Source organism: Homo sapiens, chromosome 22, assembly GCF_000001405.40.
Source record: "Homo sapiens chromosome 22, GRCh38.p14 Primary Assembly".
Lineage (NCBI taxonomy): Eukaryota > Metazoa > Chordata > Mammalia > Primates > Hominidae > Homo > Homo sapiens.
Genome location: NC_000022.11, coordinates 46,976,935 through 46,996,015, shown reverse-complemented (window position 1 = coordinate 46,996,015; position 19,081 = coordinate 46,976,935). Strand labels below are relative to the sequence as shown.

At 47.0% G+C, this 19,081-nt stretch overlaps 1 protein-coding gene across 15 annotated transcripts in view, besides 2 other annotated features; it reads right to left on the bottom strand.

The window, feature by feature from the left end:
- Window positions 1-19,081, bottom strand: part of TBC1D22A (TBC1 domain family member 22A) — a 413,050-nt gene that overhangs the window by 179,684 nt on the left and 214,285 nt on the right. For 3 of the 15 annotated variants that reach the window (XM_017028742.3, XM_047441306.1, XM_047441307.1), the window contains exon 10: window positions 5,906-6,001. In XM_017028742.3, the coding sequence (XP_016884231.1) occupies window positions 5,906-6,001 (96 nt within the window). 15 annotated transcript variants of the gene reach the window in all.
- Window positions 1,928-2,756: an enhancer, noted in NCBI's record as "H3K27ac-H3K4me1 hESC enhancer chr22:47389156-47389984 (GRCh37/hg19 assembly coordinates)". NCBI's record gives its function as "activates a minimal SCP1, AML or CMV promoter by ChIP-STARR-seq in naive and primed H9 embryonic stem cells {active_cell/tissue: H9 hESC(naive and primed)}" and the evidence as "EXISTENCE:reporter gene assay evidence [ECO:0000049][PMID:30033119]".
- Window positions 12,537-13,037: an enhancer, noted in NCBI's record as "H3K4me1 hESC enhancer chr22:47378875-47379375 (GRCh37/hg19 assembly coordinates)". NCBI's record gives its function as "activates a minimal SCP1, AML or CMV promoter by ChIP-STARR-seq in naive H9 embryonic stem cells {active_cell/tissue: H9 hESC(naive)}" and the evidence as "EXISTENCE:reporter gene assay evidence [ECO:0000049][PMID:30033119]".

Sequence of the window (19,081 nt, the reverse complement as noted above, 5' to 3'; positions counted from 1 at the left end):
GTCTACACGGGCAGCTGTCCACGTGGCACCCGGCATTCAGAGCCCAGGAGGGAAGTCGAAAGACTGATCTGGGCTTGATACTGATACTCCTTTTCCATAGGCTCAGGACTGGAAAACGGTTCAAGCACAGAATTAAGGGTGAGAAGTAAACCAGAGAGTGGTGTGGCAGCCTCCAGTACAGAGAGGTTCCTCGAGGTGGTCAACCAGGCAGGCCTCCCTGTGCTGTGAGGGGACGCGGCCACAGAGTTCACAGAATCCGCAGGTGGAGGAAGGGTGACAGGGCACACAGCAAGGGTGTCAGCCCTCGGGAGGCCCCAGTGACGTGGAAACAGCACTCACAGAACCCCCAGCTCCAGAACCCAGGAGGTGACCCCAGGTAAGACAAACGTGGAGCTGAGCGACTGCCTTCGGGCCAGCAGCATTCCCAAGTCTGGAAAGTCAAATGTGAACACACGCAGCCAGCACTCTCTACGTTTCTCTCTCACACACACACACACACACAAAGTGCGTGCACACACGCAGAGCACACATGACATCTCCTAACAAGAGCAGGCATGGCAGCCACTGTGGCACAGAACACAAAAAATGCCTACGAGGCCCTAAGGATTTTTCTTTCCCTAGAAATGGAAAATGAGCCGAGTCAGACCTGCCGGCTTGCTGAGGGATTTCTCCCAGGTGGATTTCAAGTGACAGGCTCTGGATTCCAAACTGTCACATCTCTGAGGGCAGAACCACGAAAACTCCGTTTGCCACCTTCACTTAGAATGACGCCAAGGCCCTCCGGTGACCTTGTGTAGCAGGAGGGATGGGCTCCGGGGAGAGGATCTCTGGAGTGACTGCTCCCGGGCCTGGGGATGATATGTTTCCTAGATGTCGTGGGCTGATTCAGGGAGAAGCTTGGAGGCCTCCTGAATTTGGCTGTCCAAAATACGGTGTTTAATGGGCAGGACTTTTAGGCCCTGAAGGAGCTGCGATGGTGTCAGTGAGACCCAGGCACCTGTCCGGCTGAGAGGGAGCCGCAGCAACAGCTAAGGACAAATTGTGAGCTTTCGTATATTTGAAATTTAACAGGAGTAAGAAATTTTGGCTCCAGACTTGAATTCCTTTGACTGTCATCATCTTTGGTCCTGAACTTGCAATGGTTAGCCTTTAAGACTTAATTTCTCCCCAGAGATTGGATAACAGGAGCACACTGATGTTAAAATTTAGGGCACACTGTGTGTTGCAAGTTTACATCATGTAATTTAACCTCGTGGAGGAATTCTGATGAGCCCGGTTGAACAATATAGCTGCACAGAATTAAGGGTGAGAAGTAAACCTGAGAGTGGTGTGGCAGCCTCCAGTACACAGAGGTCCTAAGATTATTTAATGAATGTCCTATTCCGACAAATTCCGGAGCCATGGGGAGCACATTCTAACCACCCCATTGGTCTGTCCTGAGGGACTGCGATCTCTTCCACTCCAAGAGAGGCCACGTCCCTGGCTGTCCAGGTCCCTGATGGTTATGTGAATAACAGACAGACCTGGAGTCAGCTTGGAGCGCAGCTGCTGCCTCTCCTGGACTTGCTCTAGCCGCAGAAATGCTCGCCCCATGGAGGCCAAAACGGGGAGAGGCGAAGGTGGGTTCAGCCCCTTGCACTTCTCAAGAGGCTCCACAGCAGGTGGGCAGGGCCCGGCCCTCAACACTGGCTCTGATGGGGTGGGTGAGCCTGATGGGTCCTGGGATCAGTCAGCCATTCGGTGGCTCTCCCACTAAGACAGGATTTTAGGCTCTCAGTTAGCAGAAATAAAAGTTATTCTTTGCCTCCATCTGGCACAGTTTTGTTTTATTTCTCAATTTGTTCAAAACCCAGGTAGGGAAGACGGATTCTCAGAAATCCAAACAATTAAAAAAAAAGAATGACACCTGAGAGCCAATAACGAAAAGGTCTGCATTTTGAAAGAGAAAATGTTTGCATTTTGAAAGACCTGCAAAGACTGACAGCTATGGCCTCGGCATTCTGGCTTCAGGCTAGGGGCGGAGAAGGCCAGCCTTCAGAAGGCTGTAGCAGGGACGCCCGGCCCCACCCCCCGAGGGCGAGGCGCCAAGGCTAAGACACAGGGGGGTCGGTCTGGGCCCTCCTGGCTCCTGGCTCGGGAGGTGAGCCCAGCCTGCAGAAGGCCCCGCTCTGGGGCCAGGAAGCCTTCAAGGGCACTCTAAGGAGGCAGACACCGTGGCCAAGGAATCCAGAGCCAGGTGGCTGAGGAAAGGAGGGAGAAAAGAATGTCCCATGGCCCTCGCAGCAGCCTGTCCCAGGGAGGCACTGACCGCCCAGGCCCTCCCAGCAGCTGCCCGCAGGCTGCACCAAGGCCCCTGGGTAGATCACAGGCTCTGTCTGCTTAAGGCCCAGAAACCAGATTTGCCCTCGGGACACCCCAGCCCAGCACCCCGCCTCCCACACCTGGCACCCAGATCACCTGTGCTGGTGAACACGTACCTGGGCAGCAAAACAGGAACTAAGCAAGAATCCTCTACACTTATAAAAATGTCATTAGTAATAATATTAACATTATTCCCTTCATAAAAAGTAAGTATGCATGTCCTTTCCAATTGAGATCTGGTATCTTTAAAAAAGGATATAATTTATAAAACATATGCATCAGAGGGAAGAGAGGAAGGGCTGAAGACAACGATCTGTTGTGAAATGTTTCACAGAAGGTGAAGTCTGTGAATATAAATTTTTAAAAATACGCTCAGCTTGCCTTACACCTGTTGCCATTACAACATCACACTCTTCCCGATAACAAATAACACTTTCTGCACTTTTTGGAAGAAAAGTAGAATAAAATTTTCTTAGGGAGCATTTTAGAGAAGAGTCGAAATATAAATTCCTATCAGCTCACCTGGAAGTACCCAGAGTCAAACCTGCCAGCTCACGGAGAAGTTAGACTCCCTCCTGCCTCTCTGACAAAGTGCTCTTCCACCTGGACCAGGGATCCACCTCCCCACAAAGTCCAGCCTCTTCTTTCCAGGCTAATTTCACCGTAACATAGTGTCTTCCCCACATTGAAACCAAATGTGCCTTCCACGCCCAGGCCTTGACCTGCCTCTGAAACACCTCGGGAAGTCTTTTCTGCAAGCAATGGCCTGAGAGACTTCCATTTCCTTCAACTCTTAAGACTCCCTTCCACATCCTCTCGGGGGCCCCTGGCCACCAGCCCTGAACACAGAAGCTGGGCTCTGACCACGCAAGGACAGAGCTAGGAAGCCTCCTGTCACAGCTGCACTCCACTGTCAGCCATTAATACATTAAAGCCATTAACGCATCAGTCCAGCGGAAGGCAGAACCACATCAGATACTAGTTCTTTCATCTGTTCAACTCTGAAAGCCTCCTACGTGCCAGAAAATCAAGTCCTGAGTATCGATGTGTGCGAAGGAGTCAAACACGCAGGCCTGGGAATGCTATCCCCGGAGAGTCCTGCTTGCAAGGCCGGTCCCCGGCCGGTGCCTAGAATGTGGGTTTCAGGAGAGTTCCCACGATTCCCTGACTGATCTGGATGACTCGGCGGGCCTACACTGTGCAGGGTGGTTCACCCTGGGCACCTGCTCTCCTCCTGGGAGGCTGCATTTGGGCACATGCCAAGCAGAGAGTGTCCGCATGCCCAGTCCCCAGTAACATCCTCGGTGCTGAGTCTCTAATGTGCTTCCCCAGCAGGCAACGTTTCGGACGGGTCGTCCCAGCCCCGCACTGGAGGGATCCAGCGTGTCCTGTGTGACTCCGCCAGGAGGGGGCTTGGAAGCTTATACCGCTTCCTCTGGACTTTACCCCTTGATGGAGTCTCCTCTGCATCCTTGCACTGTGAAGAATCACAGCCACGAGTGTGGCTCTGTGGGGTCGTCTTGGGATCCCCTGACACAGACAGGGAGAAAAGTGGACAGGCAGACAGGACCCTTCTGTTCACAGGGATGACAGTCTGACAGCTGAGCCAATGTTCATCACTCGCCAGGCAAGTGCACATTGACTGCTAACGAGGACCTGGGTGGCCACACCATCATAGCACAGAACCAGGGCTGGTCCTGGAAGACCACTTGGAGGGTGTGAGGTCTGAGCAGAGATGAGAGAGAGGGTTCAGGCACCATGCAGCAGAGCCCCGGCGGCCCGAGGGAGCATGTCACATCCCAGAAATGAAATGGAGGCCAGGGCAGCTGGAGGGCAGCGAGCAAGCTGCGGCTGAGGCAAGAGGAGACCGTTCCGAGGCTGGAAGGCCACGTCGGAGTCAGCGGTGAGACCCAGGCAATGCTCTCAAACGCAGGTAATGAAATGCAAATGGAGGCCACTGCAGGTAAGAGATTTGCACCACGGAAAGATGATGTAGAAACAATGGAATGAGCCAAATGAGGATGGAGGGGTATCATTCACGAGGCAACTGCCGTAATCCAGGCAAAGTGACTACACGCGCTTCCCACGGAAGACAAAGTGAACCCCAACTGTCCACACTGCCTTCTGCTGAGCTGACTGCTCGGCTCATGCACCTGAACGTAGGACTTGCCATTTGTTCCTATTAGCTCATTCATTTGATTGGTTCCCGGCTGGCACTGCAGGCAGCTGAACCCATTCTGAATCTTGATTGTGCCATCTATCACATTCGCTATCCCTCCCAGCTGAGAGGCACTGGTTAAACGGATCCCCTTGACGTCTTCACTACAGTCTCTGCCAAGAGGAGGGAAGGGCAGGGCCAAGGACGGGGCTCGGCAGCATGTTCTCAGAAAGCACCCTCAGAGCACAAACGTGTCAGATTCTATGCAGCCTTGTTTAACCAAACCCCCTGCTTTCCTACCTGCCAGGTTCATTTCTCTGATCTTCTGTGTTCCCATCTGTGAAATGGAGAGAGGAAGGGCTCCATCACAAGGGCACAGGCGGTACTGAGTTACTGTGTCTAAAAGAACCTAAGACAATGCCCATATAGAGTGCAAACCCAACCTCCCCCTAATTCCGCACCTTCCATGATGTGTCAGCCATCAAACAGTGGTTTAAGGCTGAAGGCTCCCAACCCAGCCAGGCCAGAGGAACCAGTGCCTCTGTAAACCACTGGAAACGTGACTGTCCCTTGTCTTCAGACACGGGCCAACCAGCAGAGTAAAGCGGCACACCAGCAGGAGGAGGCCATCCATGGTCACTTCCAGACGCACACGGCGAGGAGCAGAGCCGTCACGAACGCCGGCGCGGGAGGGAGACAGCCAGCAAGCCAACGGGGAGAGAAGCCACCGCAGCAGGAGCAGTGGGATGAAAAGGTTCCAACTGCAGGATTTCAACTAAGTCACATTCTGGCAAAGGTGAAACTATGGAGACAGTAAAAAGCCCAGGGGTTGGGTGGAAGGGGATGAACAGGCGGGGCACGAGGGTGTTCAGGGCAGGGGACGACACTGTGCGACACTTTCTTGGTGGACTCATGTCACTGCACACCTTTCAAAACCCACGGCCTACAACTGGTGTAAACTGTGGACTTTAGTTGACAATAATGTATCGATATTGGCTCCTCAATTGTAACACATATGCCACACTGAAGTCAGTGATGTGAGATACTAATCACAGGGAGGCTGGGGCTGAAGGAGGACGCTGAGGAGCACATGGGGCCTCTCTAACCTCCTGCTCAATTTTTCTGGAAAGCTAAAACTGCTCTAAAAAAACCAAACTCCATTAATTGAAAAAAATAATCAATTCATCCAAAGAAGGTAGGGAAAAAAGAACAAATAAGAAAAGATGAAAGTAAATAGGAAAATGGCAACCTAAACCCCAACCGTATAAATAATTAGGTTGGACAGATTAGATGAATATATATGTGGTCTAAACATACACTAAAAAGTTAAGAAAGCAAGTTGCAAGAATAAACTATCTATAAGAGTTCATTTTAAATAAAACTTACATTTTGCGGCCGGGCGCGGTGGCGCACATCTGTAATCCCAGCACTTTGGGAGGCCAACATGGGCAGCTCGCTTGAGCCCAGGAGTTCAAGACCAGTCTGGAAAACATGGCAAAACCCCATCTCTACCCAAAAATATAAAAATTATCCAGGTGTGGTGGCAAGCACCTACAGTTCCAGCTTCTCAGGAGACTGCGGTGGGAGAATCACTTAAGCCTGGGAGACAGAGGTTGCAGTGAGCTGAGATCGCATCACTGCACTCCAGCCCGGGCAACACAGTGAGACTCTGTCAAAAAATAAAAAATAATATATATATATTTATTTATTGTGTGTGTGTGTGTGTGTGTGTGTGTGACTCTGTCACATTTTGGCAATTCTCTTAATATTTCAAACTTTTTCATTATGATCTTTTATGGGGATCTGTGATGAGTGATCTTTGATGTTACTATCATAATTGTTTTAGGGTACCACAAACCATGCCATTTAAGACAGCAAACTTAATAAATGTTTTGTGTGTGTTCCAACTGCCCCGCTGACCGGCAGTTCCCCATCTCTCTCCCTCTCCTCGGGCCTTCCTATTTTCTGAGACACAACAAGATTGATATTAGGCCAAGTAAGAACCCTACAATGGGTTAAGTCAAGTGTTCAAATAAAGAAAGAGTCGCACATTCTCTCACTTTAAATCAAAAGCCAGAAAGATTACGCTTGGTGAGGAAGGCATGCAAAAAGCTGAGACAAGCCAAAAGTAGGCCTTTTTTTTTTGCCAAACAGCCAGGTTGTGAATGCAAAGGAAAAGTTCTTGAAGGAAATTAAAAGTGTTACTCCAGTGAACACACGAATGTTAAGAAGGCAAAACAGGCTTCTTGCTGATGTGGACAAAGTTTCAGCGGTCTGGATAGAAGATCCAAACAGCTACACATTCTCCTAAGCCAAAGCCTAATCCAGAGCAAGACCCTAATTCTCTTTAATTCTATGAAGGCTGAGAGAAGTGAGGAAGTTACAGAAGAAAGGGTGGAAGCTAGCAGAGGTCAGTTCATCAGGTTTAAGGAAAGAAGCCGTCTCCATAGCATAAAAGTACAAGGTGAGGCAGCAAGTGCTGATGGAGAAGCTGTAGCAAGTTCTCCAGAAGATCTAGCCAAGATAACTGACGAAGGTGGCTACTCTAAACAACAGATTTTCCATGTAGATGAAACAGCCTTCTACTGGAAGAAGACACCATCTACAACTTTCATGGCTAGAGAGGAGGAGTCAATGCCTCACTTCAAAGCTTCGAAGGACCAGCTGACTCTCTTGTTAGAGGCTAAAGCAGCTGGTGACTTTAAGTTAAAGCCAAGGCTCATTTACCATTCTGAAAATCCTAGGACCCTTAAGAAGCATGCTCAGTACTCTGCCTGTGCTCTATAAATGGAACAACAAAACCTGGATGACAGCACATTTGTTTACAGCAGGGTTTACCAAGTATTTGAAGCCCACTGTTGAGACCTACTGCTCAGAAAGAAAGATTTTGTTCAAAATATTCCTGCTCATGGACAATGCACCTGGTCCCCCAAGAGCTCTGATGGAGACATGCAGGAAGATGAAAGTTGTGTTCATGCCTGCTGATGCCATATTCGTTCTGCAGACCATGGATCAAGGAGTTATTTCAACTTTCAAGTCATTATTTGAGAAATATACTTGATAAGGCTATAGCTGCCATAGAAGTGATTTCTCTGATGAACTGGGCAAAGCCCACTGAAAACCCTGTGGAAAGGACCTGCTTTTCTAGATGCCATTAAGAACATTTGTGATTCATGGGAAGAGGTCAAAAAACCAACATTAACTGCAAGTTAGAAGTTGATTCTAACATTCGTGAATGACTTTGAGGGGTTCAATACTTCAGTGGAGGAAGTAACTACAGATATGGTGGAAATAGACAACAGAATTAGAAACAGTCTGAAAATGTGCTTGAATTACTGCAATCTCACAGGAAAATTTAAATGGATGAGAAGGTGCTTCTCACAAATGAGGAAAAAAAAGTGGTTTCTTTTTTTTTTTCTTTTCTTTTCCCAGAATGACTGGACTCCAAGAAAGTGGTTTCTTGAGACAGAAGCTATTCCTGATGAAGATGCTGTGAACATTGTTGAAATGACAACAAAGGATTCAGAACACTCCATAAGCCTAGTTGATAAAGCAGTGGCAGGGCTTGGGAGAACTGACCGGGGTTTTGAAAGAAGTCCTACTGTGGATAAAATGCCATCGAGTAGCTCTGCAAGCTACAGGGAACTCTTTCAGGAAAAGAAGACTCCACTGACATGGCAAACTTCAAATTGCTGTCTTAATTTAACAAATTGCCACAGCCACCCCAACTTCGGCAACCACCACCCTGATCAGTCTGCAGCTGTCAAGACGAGAAAACACCCTCCGCTGGGAAAAAGATTACAACTTGCTGAAGGCTCAGATGATCATTCGCATTTTCTAGCAATAAAGTAGTTTTGAATTCCGGTATGTACACTTTTTAGATACAATGCTATTGTATGTTAATAAATTAAAGTATAATATAACTTTTATATGCATTGAGAAAGCAAAAAACTTGTGTGGCTAGTTTTATTAGGATAGTTGCTTTATTGTGGTGGTTTGGAATCAAACATGCAATATCTCCAAGGTATACCTATAAAAACCATTTGTCTTGCAAAGAAAGAAGAGTCTCTTTATTTGCTGATAACATCATCGTGTACAGAAAATCCTAAGGCATCTACTAACAAGCTCCTAGCAATAATAAGTGACTCTAGCAAGATTACTAGATACAAGTAGGGTATTTTCCAAAAGTGGCCACATTCTCTCCTGTCCCACATGCTCTTTCAGGAGGTGACCAATGCCACTCCGGCATCGAGAGATGGAGACTAATTTCTCCCTCTTTGAATTAGAATAGACTTGTGACTGCTTCCACCAAAAGCGTACAGGGGGCATGACTTCTGAGTACAGTGTGTGACTTCTGAGGCTCAGTCATGAAAAATGCAGCTTCCACCTTGTTTGAGGACAGAGTCTCACTGGGAGCCTTGTACCATCCAGCAAGAGGTCTGACTATCCCAAGGCCACCATGCCACGAGGACAATCAGCGCGTGGAGAGGCCAGGAGTGGGCGATCCAACCCAAAGTCCTACTCTTAGAGTCACGTAGGCCCAGGGCGCCAGGCTCTTAAATGAACGGGAGTCTAGATGCTTCCAGCCACCACCTGAGATTCCAGACATCATGGTGCGCAAATCAGCCGTCCACACCATGCCCTGACAGAGATCCTGACCCACAGAGCCCGAGAGCACAAAGGCATGGCTGCCTCCAGTCAGAGGGTTTGGGAGTCATTTGTTATGCTACAGCAGTCCCTGGAAAGCTGTCCGCTTGCAAAAATCAACTGTATTTGTATATACCCCTAGCATATCAATCCAAAATTGATTTACTACAAATCAGTAGCAAAAAATACCAACAAAGCTATGCCATTTGAAGGAACGTCAGAAAAAAACAAAATATTCAGAAACAAATTTGACAAAGTATGAGCAAAACCCTATACCAAAAACTGCAAAATGTTTGTGAGGATAAATTAAAGAATATCTAAATAAATTAAGAAATACACTACGCTCACGGGTAAGAAGACTCAATATTGCTAATATTGTCAGTATGAGGGAAACTGACATACAATTCCACATATTCTCATTCAAAATCTCAACAGGCTTTTTTTTTTTTTGTAGGAAGTGGCAAAAGCAAACTTTATATAAAAATGCAAAGGACCAAAAATACTTAATTTTTTAAAAGAACAAAGAGGACTGGCCTTACCCAACCCATGAAAATCTGCAGTAATGAAGACAGTGTGAACTGGATTAAGATCCATTTGTACGTCAATGGGACAAAACAGTGTGTCCCGAAACAGACACACACCTATACAATCATCTAATTTTCAGCAAAAGTGAAATAGGACAAAACTGTTTTCAACAAATGGCATTATGTTCACCAGGATATCTGTAGAGGAAAAAATGAAGCCTGACATCTTCCTTACACCATATACAGAAATTAAGTCAAGCTAGGTTGTAGACCTAAAACCAAAAAACTAAAATTATCAATCATAACATGGGTATATGTTGGCATTGTGGAGGTAGGCAGGACACAGAAAACTATTACCACAAAAGAAAAAAAATGATAAATTCGATTTTATCAAAGTTGAAACTGTTGGCTCATAGAAGACATTGTTAATGAAATGAAGTGACAAGCCACAGAAGCAAACATTCTCAAAATATCTGTCTTGACAAAGGATTGCTATCAGAATCGGAATAAATGAAGACCCTGTGGGGAACGCAGTGTTGGAGAAATCGCATTCTGACGTGGAACAGCCAGAACTTAACAGGCCACTAGAAGAAGATGTGGACATGAGTGTTCACAGAAATGTTATTCACAACAGCCCAAGACCAGAAACAGCCTCGGCTGCCACCAACAGGAGGATGGATAAACTGTGATAGATTCACACGGTGGAGTATTACTTAGTAATTAAAAGGAATCAACTATTCATTCAGGCAACGACACGGATTCTTAGGGTTTTCAAAGCTACTGTAAATTGAATTTTTTAATTTTCATTTTTAAATTGCTTGCTGCTCAATGATTCATTCTTAATGAACCTTCTGTCAGAGCCCAGTGACTAACACATTCTTTTCTGTTTAATAAACCTTTCTAAAATCTTGGCAGGAGTCCTCAATTTTATTGACTGGGGCTCTGAAATCATGTATCTGAGATTCTTCCCCACAGGGGCACAGTTGAGCCGGCATCTGGGGCAGGTGTGGATTTGACACATCTAAACGGACTCGGCGCTCCAGGCATTCATTCCCCCACCCCAGGCCTCCACCAAGCGCTCCACTGCCCCGTCCAGGTGAAGACTCTGCTTCTTGACGTATACAACAAATGCCAAATCAGAGCTCAGCTGGAGTGCGCTTTCTCTCTGCCAACTTCCTGGGCATCAGACCAGTCCTTCCTTTGTTATTCTCTTTCAGATAACAACATCCCCGGGGCTTAGTCCATTCTAAGTTCCAGCTGCCTGAGCTCATGGCAGAGGCTCCTGAACTCATGGCGGAGGCTCCCCCCTCAACTGCCTTTGGCTGGCCCCCTCTGGGAGCAAGCACTGTAAGAAGCCACACATCTCCCCAGCTTAGTGTGCAGGACAGGGCTTCCCCCAACTACCCTGTCGCCTCCCTGGTATTAACATCAATGGTCAACTCACGCCAGCCCCACCTGAAGGGCAATACCTGCTCACAGGCAGAGTCCACTCCACCCCGAGTCATGGGCCTGGCCGTTTCCTGACCTTTCTCTAAAGGAGTCATGACGCCACTGCGTTTCTGGCCTTTTCTCTGACAAGTTCTGAGATAATTTAGTCACTTTCCCCAATATTCCTATTACCTCCATGCCACCAAACAGTTCTTGGAATTCAATAATTCTTCCCCAAGGAAAGGAAATGTAAATGACTAATTATAAAAGGCAATGGTTCTTTTCTACTCAAAGAAATTGTCCTGTTCAGTAGTGAACCTAAGAGTAGCAGTATGACTTCAGGGTAGGCAAATATGGAAGCTGTAATTCAAGAAGTAATAGCGAACCGACAACCTTGGCATGAGTGCTGTTAGTGAAATGAAAAGACTGGCAAAAGTGCAAGAATAATCCCCTAAAAGCCTGAGAGGGCCTCATCCAGCCTGGAACTTCTCTTTTTTTTTTTTTTTTTTTTTTTTTTTTTTTTTTTTTTTTGAGATGGAGTCTGGTTCTGTCGCCCCGGCTGGAGGGCAGTGGCTCGATCTCGGCTCACTGCAACCTCTGTCTCCCAGGTTCAAGCAATTCTCCTGCCTCAGCCTCCCAAGTAGATGGGATTACAGGCGCGCGCCACCATGCCCGGCTAATTTTTGTATTTTTAATAGAGACAGGGTTTTACCATGTTGGCCAGGCTGGTCTTGAACTCCTGACCTCAGGTGATCCACCCACTTCGGCCTCCCAAAGTGCTGGGATTACAGGCATGAGCCACCGTGCCCAGCCCAGCCTGGAACTTCTCACTGGATACCAAGTTTAAACCCCCAGAGAGAGGGAGGGGCTGAAATAGCACTAGGTCAGCAGCTTCCACTGCCCAGAAAGCACACACTCAAAGCCAGTTATCTTCAGGCCCCGAAGCCAACATGCTGTGTTAAAGCAATCCTTCTTAAAGAAGTGTTCCCTCAGCTGGAATCGGCCCAGGTGTGTTTCTGTGATCTACACTAAAAATCATCCCCGAAACATAGCTACTAATACCAAATAGCATTAAAAGGACACATCCATGAAACCACTGAAAGAAACAGCCCACCAAATTATTTTTTTTTTAATTAAGTATCTGGCTGGAACCTTCATAGTGCACTTGGTAGAAAAAAAATAAAATATAAAAAAAAAAAAAACCTGGTCTTCTCATTCTGGCACCAGCTACTCTGCCAGCTGGTTGGGGGAGCCACAAAGGACCCTCCCTCCAACCTCACATCCCAGGTTACTCCAGAAAGCCAGAACCCCGGAAACCCACACACGGTCAACCTGTGCACACCCACCCAACTCACATCACCCAGAGAACAAGACACACACAGAGTGAAACTCAGGCAAATGGGCAGAAAGCCCAATCAGGAAAGAAAGTGAAAAATAAAGACAAGAAAGAAATTATTTCTCCAAATTAAACTTATCTGAATTTTTAAAAGTACTTACAATCAAAGCTACCACACAACTCAGGAAGAAAACACAGAAATTCTGTCCTCAACATTGAGGATTAGTCCCCATGACGCTTAAATGGGAGGCTCAAGGTCATCACTCCTGCACTTAGTGGTGTCCCACCTTGAGGGAAACCCACCCCTGCCCCACCTCACAGCTGTCTGCCCACAAGCCAGCCTGGGCACCCTCCTGCACTGTGGAAACCTCTGACCAGATGGTCTGCCGTGCCAGATCCAAGCCACCCATTGCACCACAAAATACAGGACTTGTCTCACAACCTCATTCACTCTCAAGATGAACCCATCCAACTGGAGTCACTAACACGGTCACGCAGGTGGAAAATGTTGAGCCCAGACCCGATGACTACAAGTGCAGCATTCCTACATAATGCTTCTTACTGCGGTGCCACAAAGGTTCTTCCCAGGCGGAGCTGTCCACGCAGCGGCATCTCCCAGTGACAGCAACCACTGAAAAGCACCCCAGACATTTCTAAGCAGCCCTAATGAGGCAGGAGGGCGCCCCACCGCTGCCACCGCTCCACACTGGGCACTTGCTCTGCATGGCCAACAAGGTCTACAGCTGCCCTCAGTGCTCTTGCACCTGCCCGCCAATGCCTGTCCCGCCACCACCTAGTTTAGGCTCCTGAATCCCCTCCTTCATCCAAATACATCCCACATCCCTCCACAAGCTTAGACGTCCCTCAGGGCAGTGCCAATGACATCGATTCGTTGTTCACACGACCGGTAGGCCAGCAGTGGCTTTCCAGGCATTACTCGCTGGACAGACCATCTCCCCTAAGACCAGCACATCTGGAAATGTAGCTGTTTTGCCTTTTCCCCCAACACCAAATGCCCCTGACTAAAAAGACTGTCTCTTGGCCGGGCGCAGTGGCTCACGCCTGTAATCCCAGCACTTTGGGAGGCCGAGGCGGGTGGATCATGAGGCCAGGAGATCAACACCATCCTGGCCAACATGGTGAAACCCCGTCTCTACTAAAAATATAAAAATTAGCCGGGCGTGGAGGCGGGTGCCTGTAGTCCCAGCTACTCGGGAAGCTGAGGCAGGAGAATTGCTTGAACCCGGGAGGCAGAGGTTGCAGTGTGCCAAGATCATGCCACTGCACTCCAGCCTGGTGACAGAGTAAGACTCCATCTCAAAAAAAAAAAAAAAAGACTGTCTCTTAAACACTTAGCAGGAAGGGCATCAATCCACCAGAGATGAGTGATCAGGCCCAAGTACCTGGTGCAGGCCACAAGGACAGACTTTCCAGAGCTGTCAAACATCAACCCAGCTTCCCAGCCTCAAGCTCCAGCCCACACTCCTGCTCCCTAAGCACTCTGAGTGATCCCACACCATGGAGTCCCAGCTTAGTCTAGAATGCTCTTCTCAATCTGCTAATCCCCCACCCAGACCTTGGTCTATCTGGCTCCCTAGTAACTGCTGGTATTGCCATTCTTACAGATCTTCTGTGCACACTGGAAAAGAATGAATATTCTCTGTGTGCTGGATATGGGGGTCTAGGTATGTCCATTTGCCCAAACTGTGCAGTACACGTCCTCCCAGATCTTCCTAATTCTTATCTGCTCGATCTACTGTATTAGTCCACTTTCATACTGCTATAAAGAACTGCCCGAGACTGGGCAACTCATAAAGACAAGAGGTTTAACTGACTCACAGTTCAGCATGGCTGGGGAGGCCTCAGGAAACTCAGAATCATGGTGGAAGACAAAGAGGAAGAGGCACGTTCTTTGCAGGGCAGCAGGGAGGAGAAGTACTGAGCAAAGTGGGGGAAGAGCCCCTTATAAAACAGTCAGATCTCAAGAGAACTCACTCACTATCAAGAGAACAGAATGGGGGAGACCGCCCCCATGATCCAATCAGCTCCACCTGGTCTCTGCCTTGACATGTGGGGGATTATGGAGATTACAATTCAAGGTGAGATTTGGGTGGGGACACAAAGCCTAACCGTATCACCTACTAATCACTGAGAGGCAGGAAAGCTGGTACTGGACTGTGTGGGTCTAAACCCCAATGCTGCAACTAACTAGCCACAAAATTGGAAGTGCCTTATGGTTGCTGTGAGGGAAAATGAACTAATATTACAACGAAGCACTCAGGACCATGTCAGGCATTGACAACCACCACCCCTCTCCCATCATACTTATGTACATGTGCAGAAATACAGGGTCAAGGTCATGCATTCAAGATTAACTCTTCCCTGGTAAATGTATCCACTGGCAGTGATACTCTTTGTCTCTAGGAATGCTTTCTGCCTTAAAAATCTATCTCATTTAATAGCTCCACGGCTATTACACAGCTACATATGGGCTACAGAGCTACCTAACTATTACTTTGGTTAATATTCTTCTGTTGCATTTCCTTTCTACCTGTCTCCTTGTGGTTTCGGTGTCTTGTAAGTAGCATATAGCTGGATTCTGTTTTTAAATCTAATCTCATTGGAGAGCTATTTTTCTTCAGAACATGAGACACATTATTCTACTTTTTTCTGGCCTTTCTTCTTTCCTATGAGACTTTCTCTTCTCTTTCTTATTCAGTGGCTTCACTCTCATGTCTCCATAGGTAATTAGTTTCAACTCATCTTTCTGGAGATTTATTAGATATTAGTAACAACATCTCATCAATGCTGAAAAATTCCCAGCCACAGCTTTACAAATATTGGCTTTCCTCTAGTACATTTCTCTTTCTAGTTCTATTTTTTAAATTCTATCTTTCCATGTCTTAATCTGCCCATATTTTCAGTATCTCTCTGTGTTGCCCAGTTGGTAATTTTCTCAGCACTACATTCAATTCTAACTAACTCTCTCTTCTCTTTTGTCTAATGAGTTTTAAATTTCAGTGACTCTAATTTCGATGCTAGAAGTTCTGTTTGGTTCCATTTAAAATCTGTGATTTCTAGCCGGGCACAGTGGCTCACACCTGGGTAATCCCAGCACTTTGGGAGGCCAAGGCAGGGGGATCACAAGGTCAAGAGATCGAGACCATCCTGGCCAACATGGTGAAACCCCGTCTCTACTAAAAATACAAAAATTAGCTGGGTGTGGTGGTGGGCACCTGTAGTCCTAGCCACTCAGGAGGCTGAGACAGGAGAATCACTTGAACCCGGGAGATGGAGGTTGCAGTGAGCCAGTATCACACCACTGTACTCCGACCTGTGCAACAGAGCGAGACTCCATCTCAAATAAATAAATATAAATAAATCTGTGAGTTCTTTCTTCAGAGTCTTTATTTTAAACTGTTTCATTCTCCTTAATATTTTAAAGTTACACATTGTCTGGTTCCTTTCAAATCGCTGTTCTAGTGTCTCAGGTCTCTGGGTACAAATCCTCCTAACGAGAGCAATCGCTAACATTTATTCCCGGCGCACTCCTTCTCTGCTTGGTTTGTACTTCGTCTGCTGTGAGGTCATCTGCAGATGCCTCTTCCCATGGGAATGCCACAGGCCTGTGGCAGGAGATCATCCCTCCTGGGCAGAAGTTCTCAGACGGTAGCCAGCCAACTCCTGGGGGTCCCTAGACCTTTCAAGGGGTCTGTTATATTGAAACTGCTGTCATAGTAACATGAAGGCATGATTCACCTTCCTCACGGTGCTGACATTTGTGCTGGCAGTACACAGGCAGTGGTGGGTAAAATTGCGGGCATGCTGGCAGCAGGCAGGGCAGTGCCCTCACCACACTCAACCGTCACTGTGTTCCCAATACCACACGCTCATGGTGTGAAAGCAAAAGGCTGTTTCACTTCAGGACGCCCTGGATACGGCAGGAAAGGTCACTCATCTTACTATTAACACTGCGCTCAGGCTCAGCCCTGACCAACACGTGGAAGAACACGGAAAGCCTGAGGGGCAAATCCAGAAACAGAAGCGTCGTCAAGGAGAGCACTTGGTGCGCTGGCTTCAGCTGTGAGCTGAACCGAACACTTTCTTCAAGAAACATCACGTTTACATGAAAGAAGGACTAGCAGACAAATCAGTTATTCAAACGCGGGTCTCTGGAAGATATTTTCTCAAAAATGAATGAAGTTGGCCTGTCACTTCAAAAGAAACAAGGAACTGTGTTTGTTGCCAATGATAATATCTGAGCTTTTAAATTAAAAATCTGAATTTTGGAAGACTTTTATCTGCCACCCTGGGCCTGACAGCTGCTTCTTATGAGACGGTGGTAATATACTAACAAATTTGATCATACGATGAAACTTATCAACATTTAAAAGATCTGCACACCTCAGTCAGCCAATATTTTCCAAATCGCCAATGAATGATGTTACAGAGCCAATATATGGGTAAAAGATCCTATCAAAGTGCAAGATAGGCCACCAACTTTAATGTAACTGAGTGTAAAACATTCACTGATGAGGTTTCAGATTTCATATCACAACTACCCTTTAAGAAACTACCATTTGTTGAGTAATAGTATAGTATGAATGAAAAAAGAATCCAAAATTACCTGAAAAGGCTATTAAAACACTTCCTGGCCGGGCGCGGTGGCTCATACCTGTAATCGCAGCACTTTGGGAGGCTGAGGCGGGCAGATCACTTGAGGTCAGGAGTTTGAGACCAGCCTGGCCAACACAGTGAAACCCTGTCTCTAACAAAAATACAAAAATTACCCGGGCATGGTGGCGTGTGCCTGTAATTCCAGCTACTCGGGAGGCTGAGGCGGAGAATCGCTTGAACCTGGGAGGCGGAGGTTGCAGTGAACTGAGATCGCACCACTGCCCTCCAGCCTGGAGGAGACTTCATCTCCAAAAAACAAACAAACAAACAAACAAAAAACACGCTTCCTTTTCCAACTATGTATCTATGTAATGCTGGATTTTCTTCACATTCTTCAGCTAAAACAAAAAATACCACAACAAATTGAATGTAGAAGTAGATACAAGAATTCTTCTATTAAGTTAGACATTAAGGAGATTTACAAAAATGTAAAACAATGCCTTTCTTCTCACTAAACATTTTTGTTTCGAAAAATAGTAATCTATCATAAAAATGTTACTTATAATAATATGTAATGGGATTTTCATTGTTGTTGTTAAATAAATTACTAAATATTTTTAATTTTCTCTATTTGAATTTCCAACATGGCAGTTATCAAGAGAATTAACCCACACAAACAAAAGCTCTTCAAGCTCTTCAATAATGTTTGTAGTGCAGAGTCCCAAGGCACACAGGCCTGGGCATGTCAATGGCAGAGCCCGTGTCCCTGCTCTGGGCAGCACCTGATCTCCCTGAGCAGGACTGGCTTCTGTGATCACACCTCGCCAGGGCAGGAGAGCCTGCACTCCTAGCCATGAGCTGGCCTGACAATTCCCTCCAGCCAGTGGAGTCAGCGCTGTTCGCTCCTGGAGGACCTCTCTTTGCTGTTAAGGAGTCCCACAATGCGTGTTAAACAATCTTTGGTCAATACCGCTAATACGGTTTGGATCTGTGTCCCCACCCAAATCTCATGTTGAATTGTAATCCCCTGTGCTGGAGGCGTGGCCTGGCTGGAGGTGACCGGATCCTGGGGGCGGTTTCTAATGGGTTAGCACCATCCCTGCTAGCGCTGCGTCGCTGGGTCATGAGATCTGGTTGTTTAAAAGTGTGTGGCACCTCCCCCAACCCCTCCCTCCACCTCCAGCCCTGTACGACACACCAGCTTCCACTTCACTTTCTGCCATAATTGAAAGTTTCCTGAAGCCTCCTCAGCTATGATTCCTGTACAGCTTGTGGAACTGTGAGCTAATTAAACCTCTTTCTCTATAAATTACCCAGTCTCAGGCACTTCTTTAAGCAGTGCGAGAACAGACCAATCACCTAACGTTTCCAGGGATTTGTCGGGAGAAAAGTGGTTTGTTCTTTTTCCTAGTTTGCCATCTTACTGGGGGCTAAGAGCCTCCTCTCCCAGCATTCTGTCCTCGCCTCCATCAGCTGTCCACTCCCCCTGCTCCATCCCACCAGGCTCTGAGCTTCTTGGGGACAGAGGGGTGATGCTGACTCACCCCAAAGTCTTCCGCCTCTCTGAGCACCTGCAGAGAGAAGGCAGGTGCTTCATACATCTCGGCCAAAATGACAAAGTTAACTAATTACTGAAAACAAGTAGAATACGGAATCTCAAATTGAGGCTCCAAAGTGAGCCAAAAACATAGTTATGACCATCCAGGACATCCAAAGGTAAAAAAAATAGATGTGGTTTCTGCCCTCTAGAACTTCCCTGCAAATGGGACTCACTTCTATGTATTTCAGCTAGGAAAGATCCCAGAGCCGTCAACGTGGGTTTTAATACAAGCCACGTCACCTGGGCAATGGGCTTCATCTCTCTTAGTCTCAGCCTTGTGTGCTGGGTGTAACCGAGCTCCAACCTGTCCCGGGAATGCCCACGCCAAGAAGCACCGTCACGGCGAAGACAATGTTAGTTCCTCACATTCATTCCCATGGGGACTGCCTACCAATCACAGAAACTGTGGG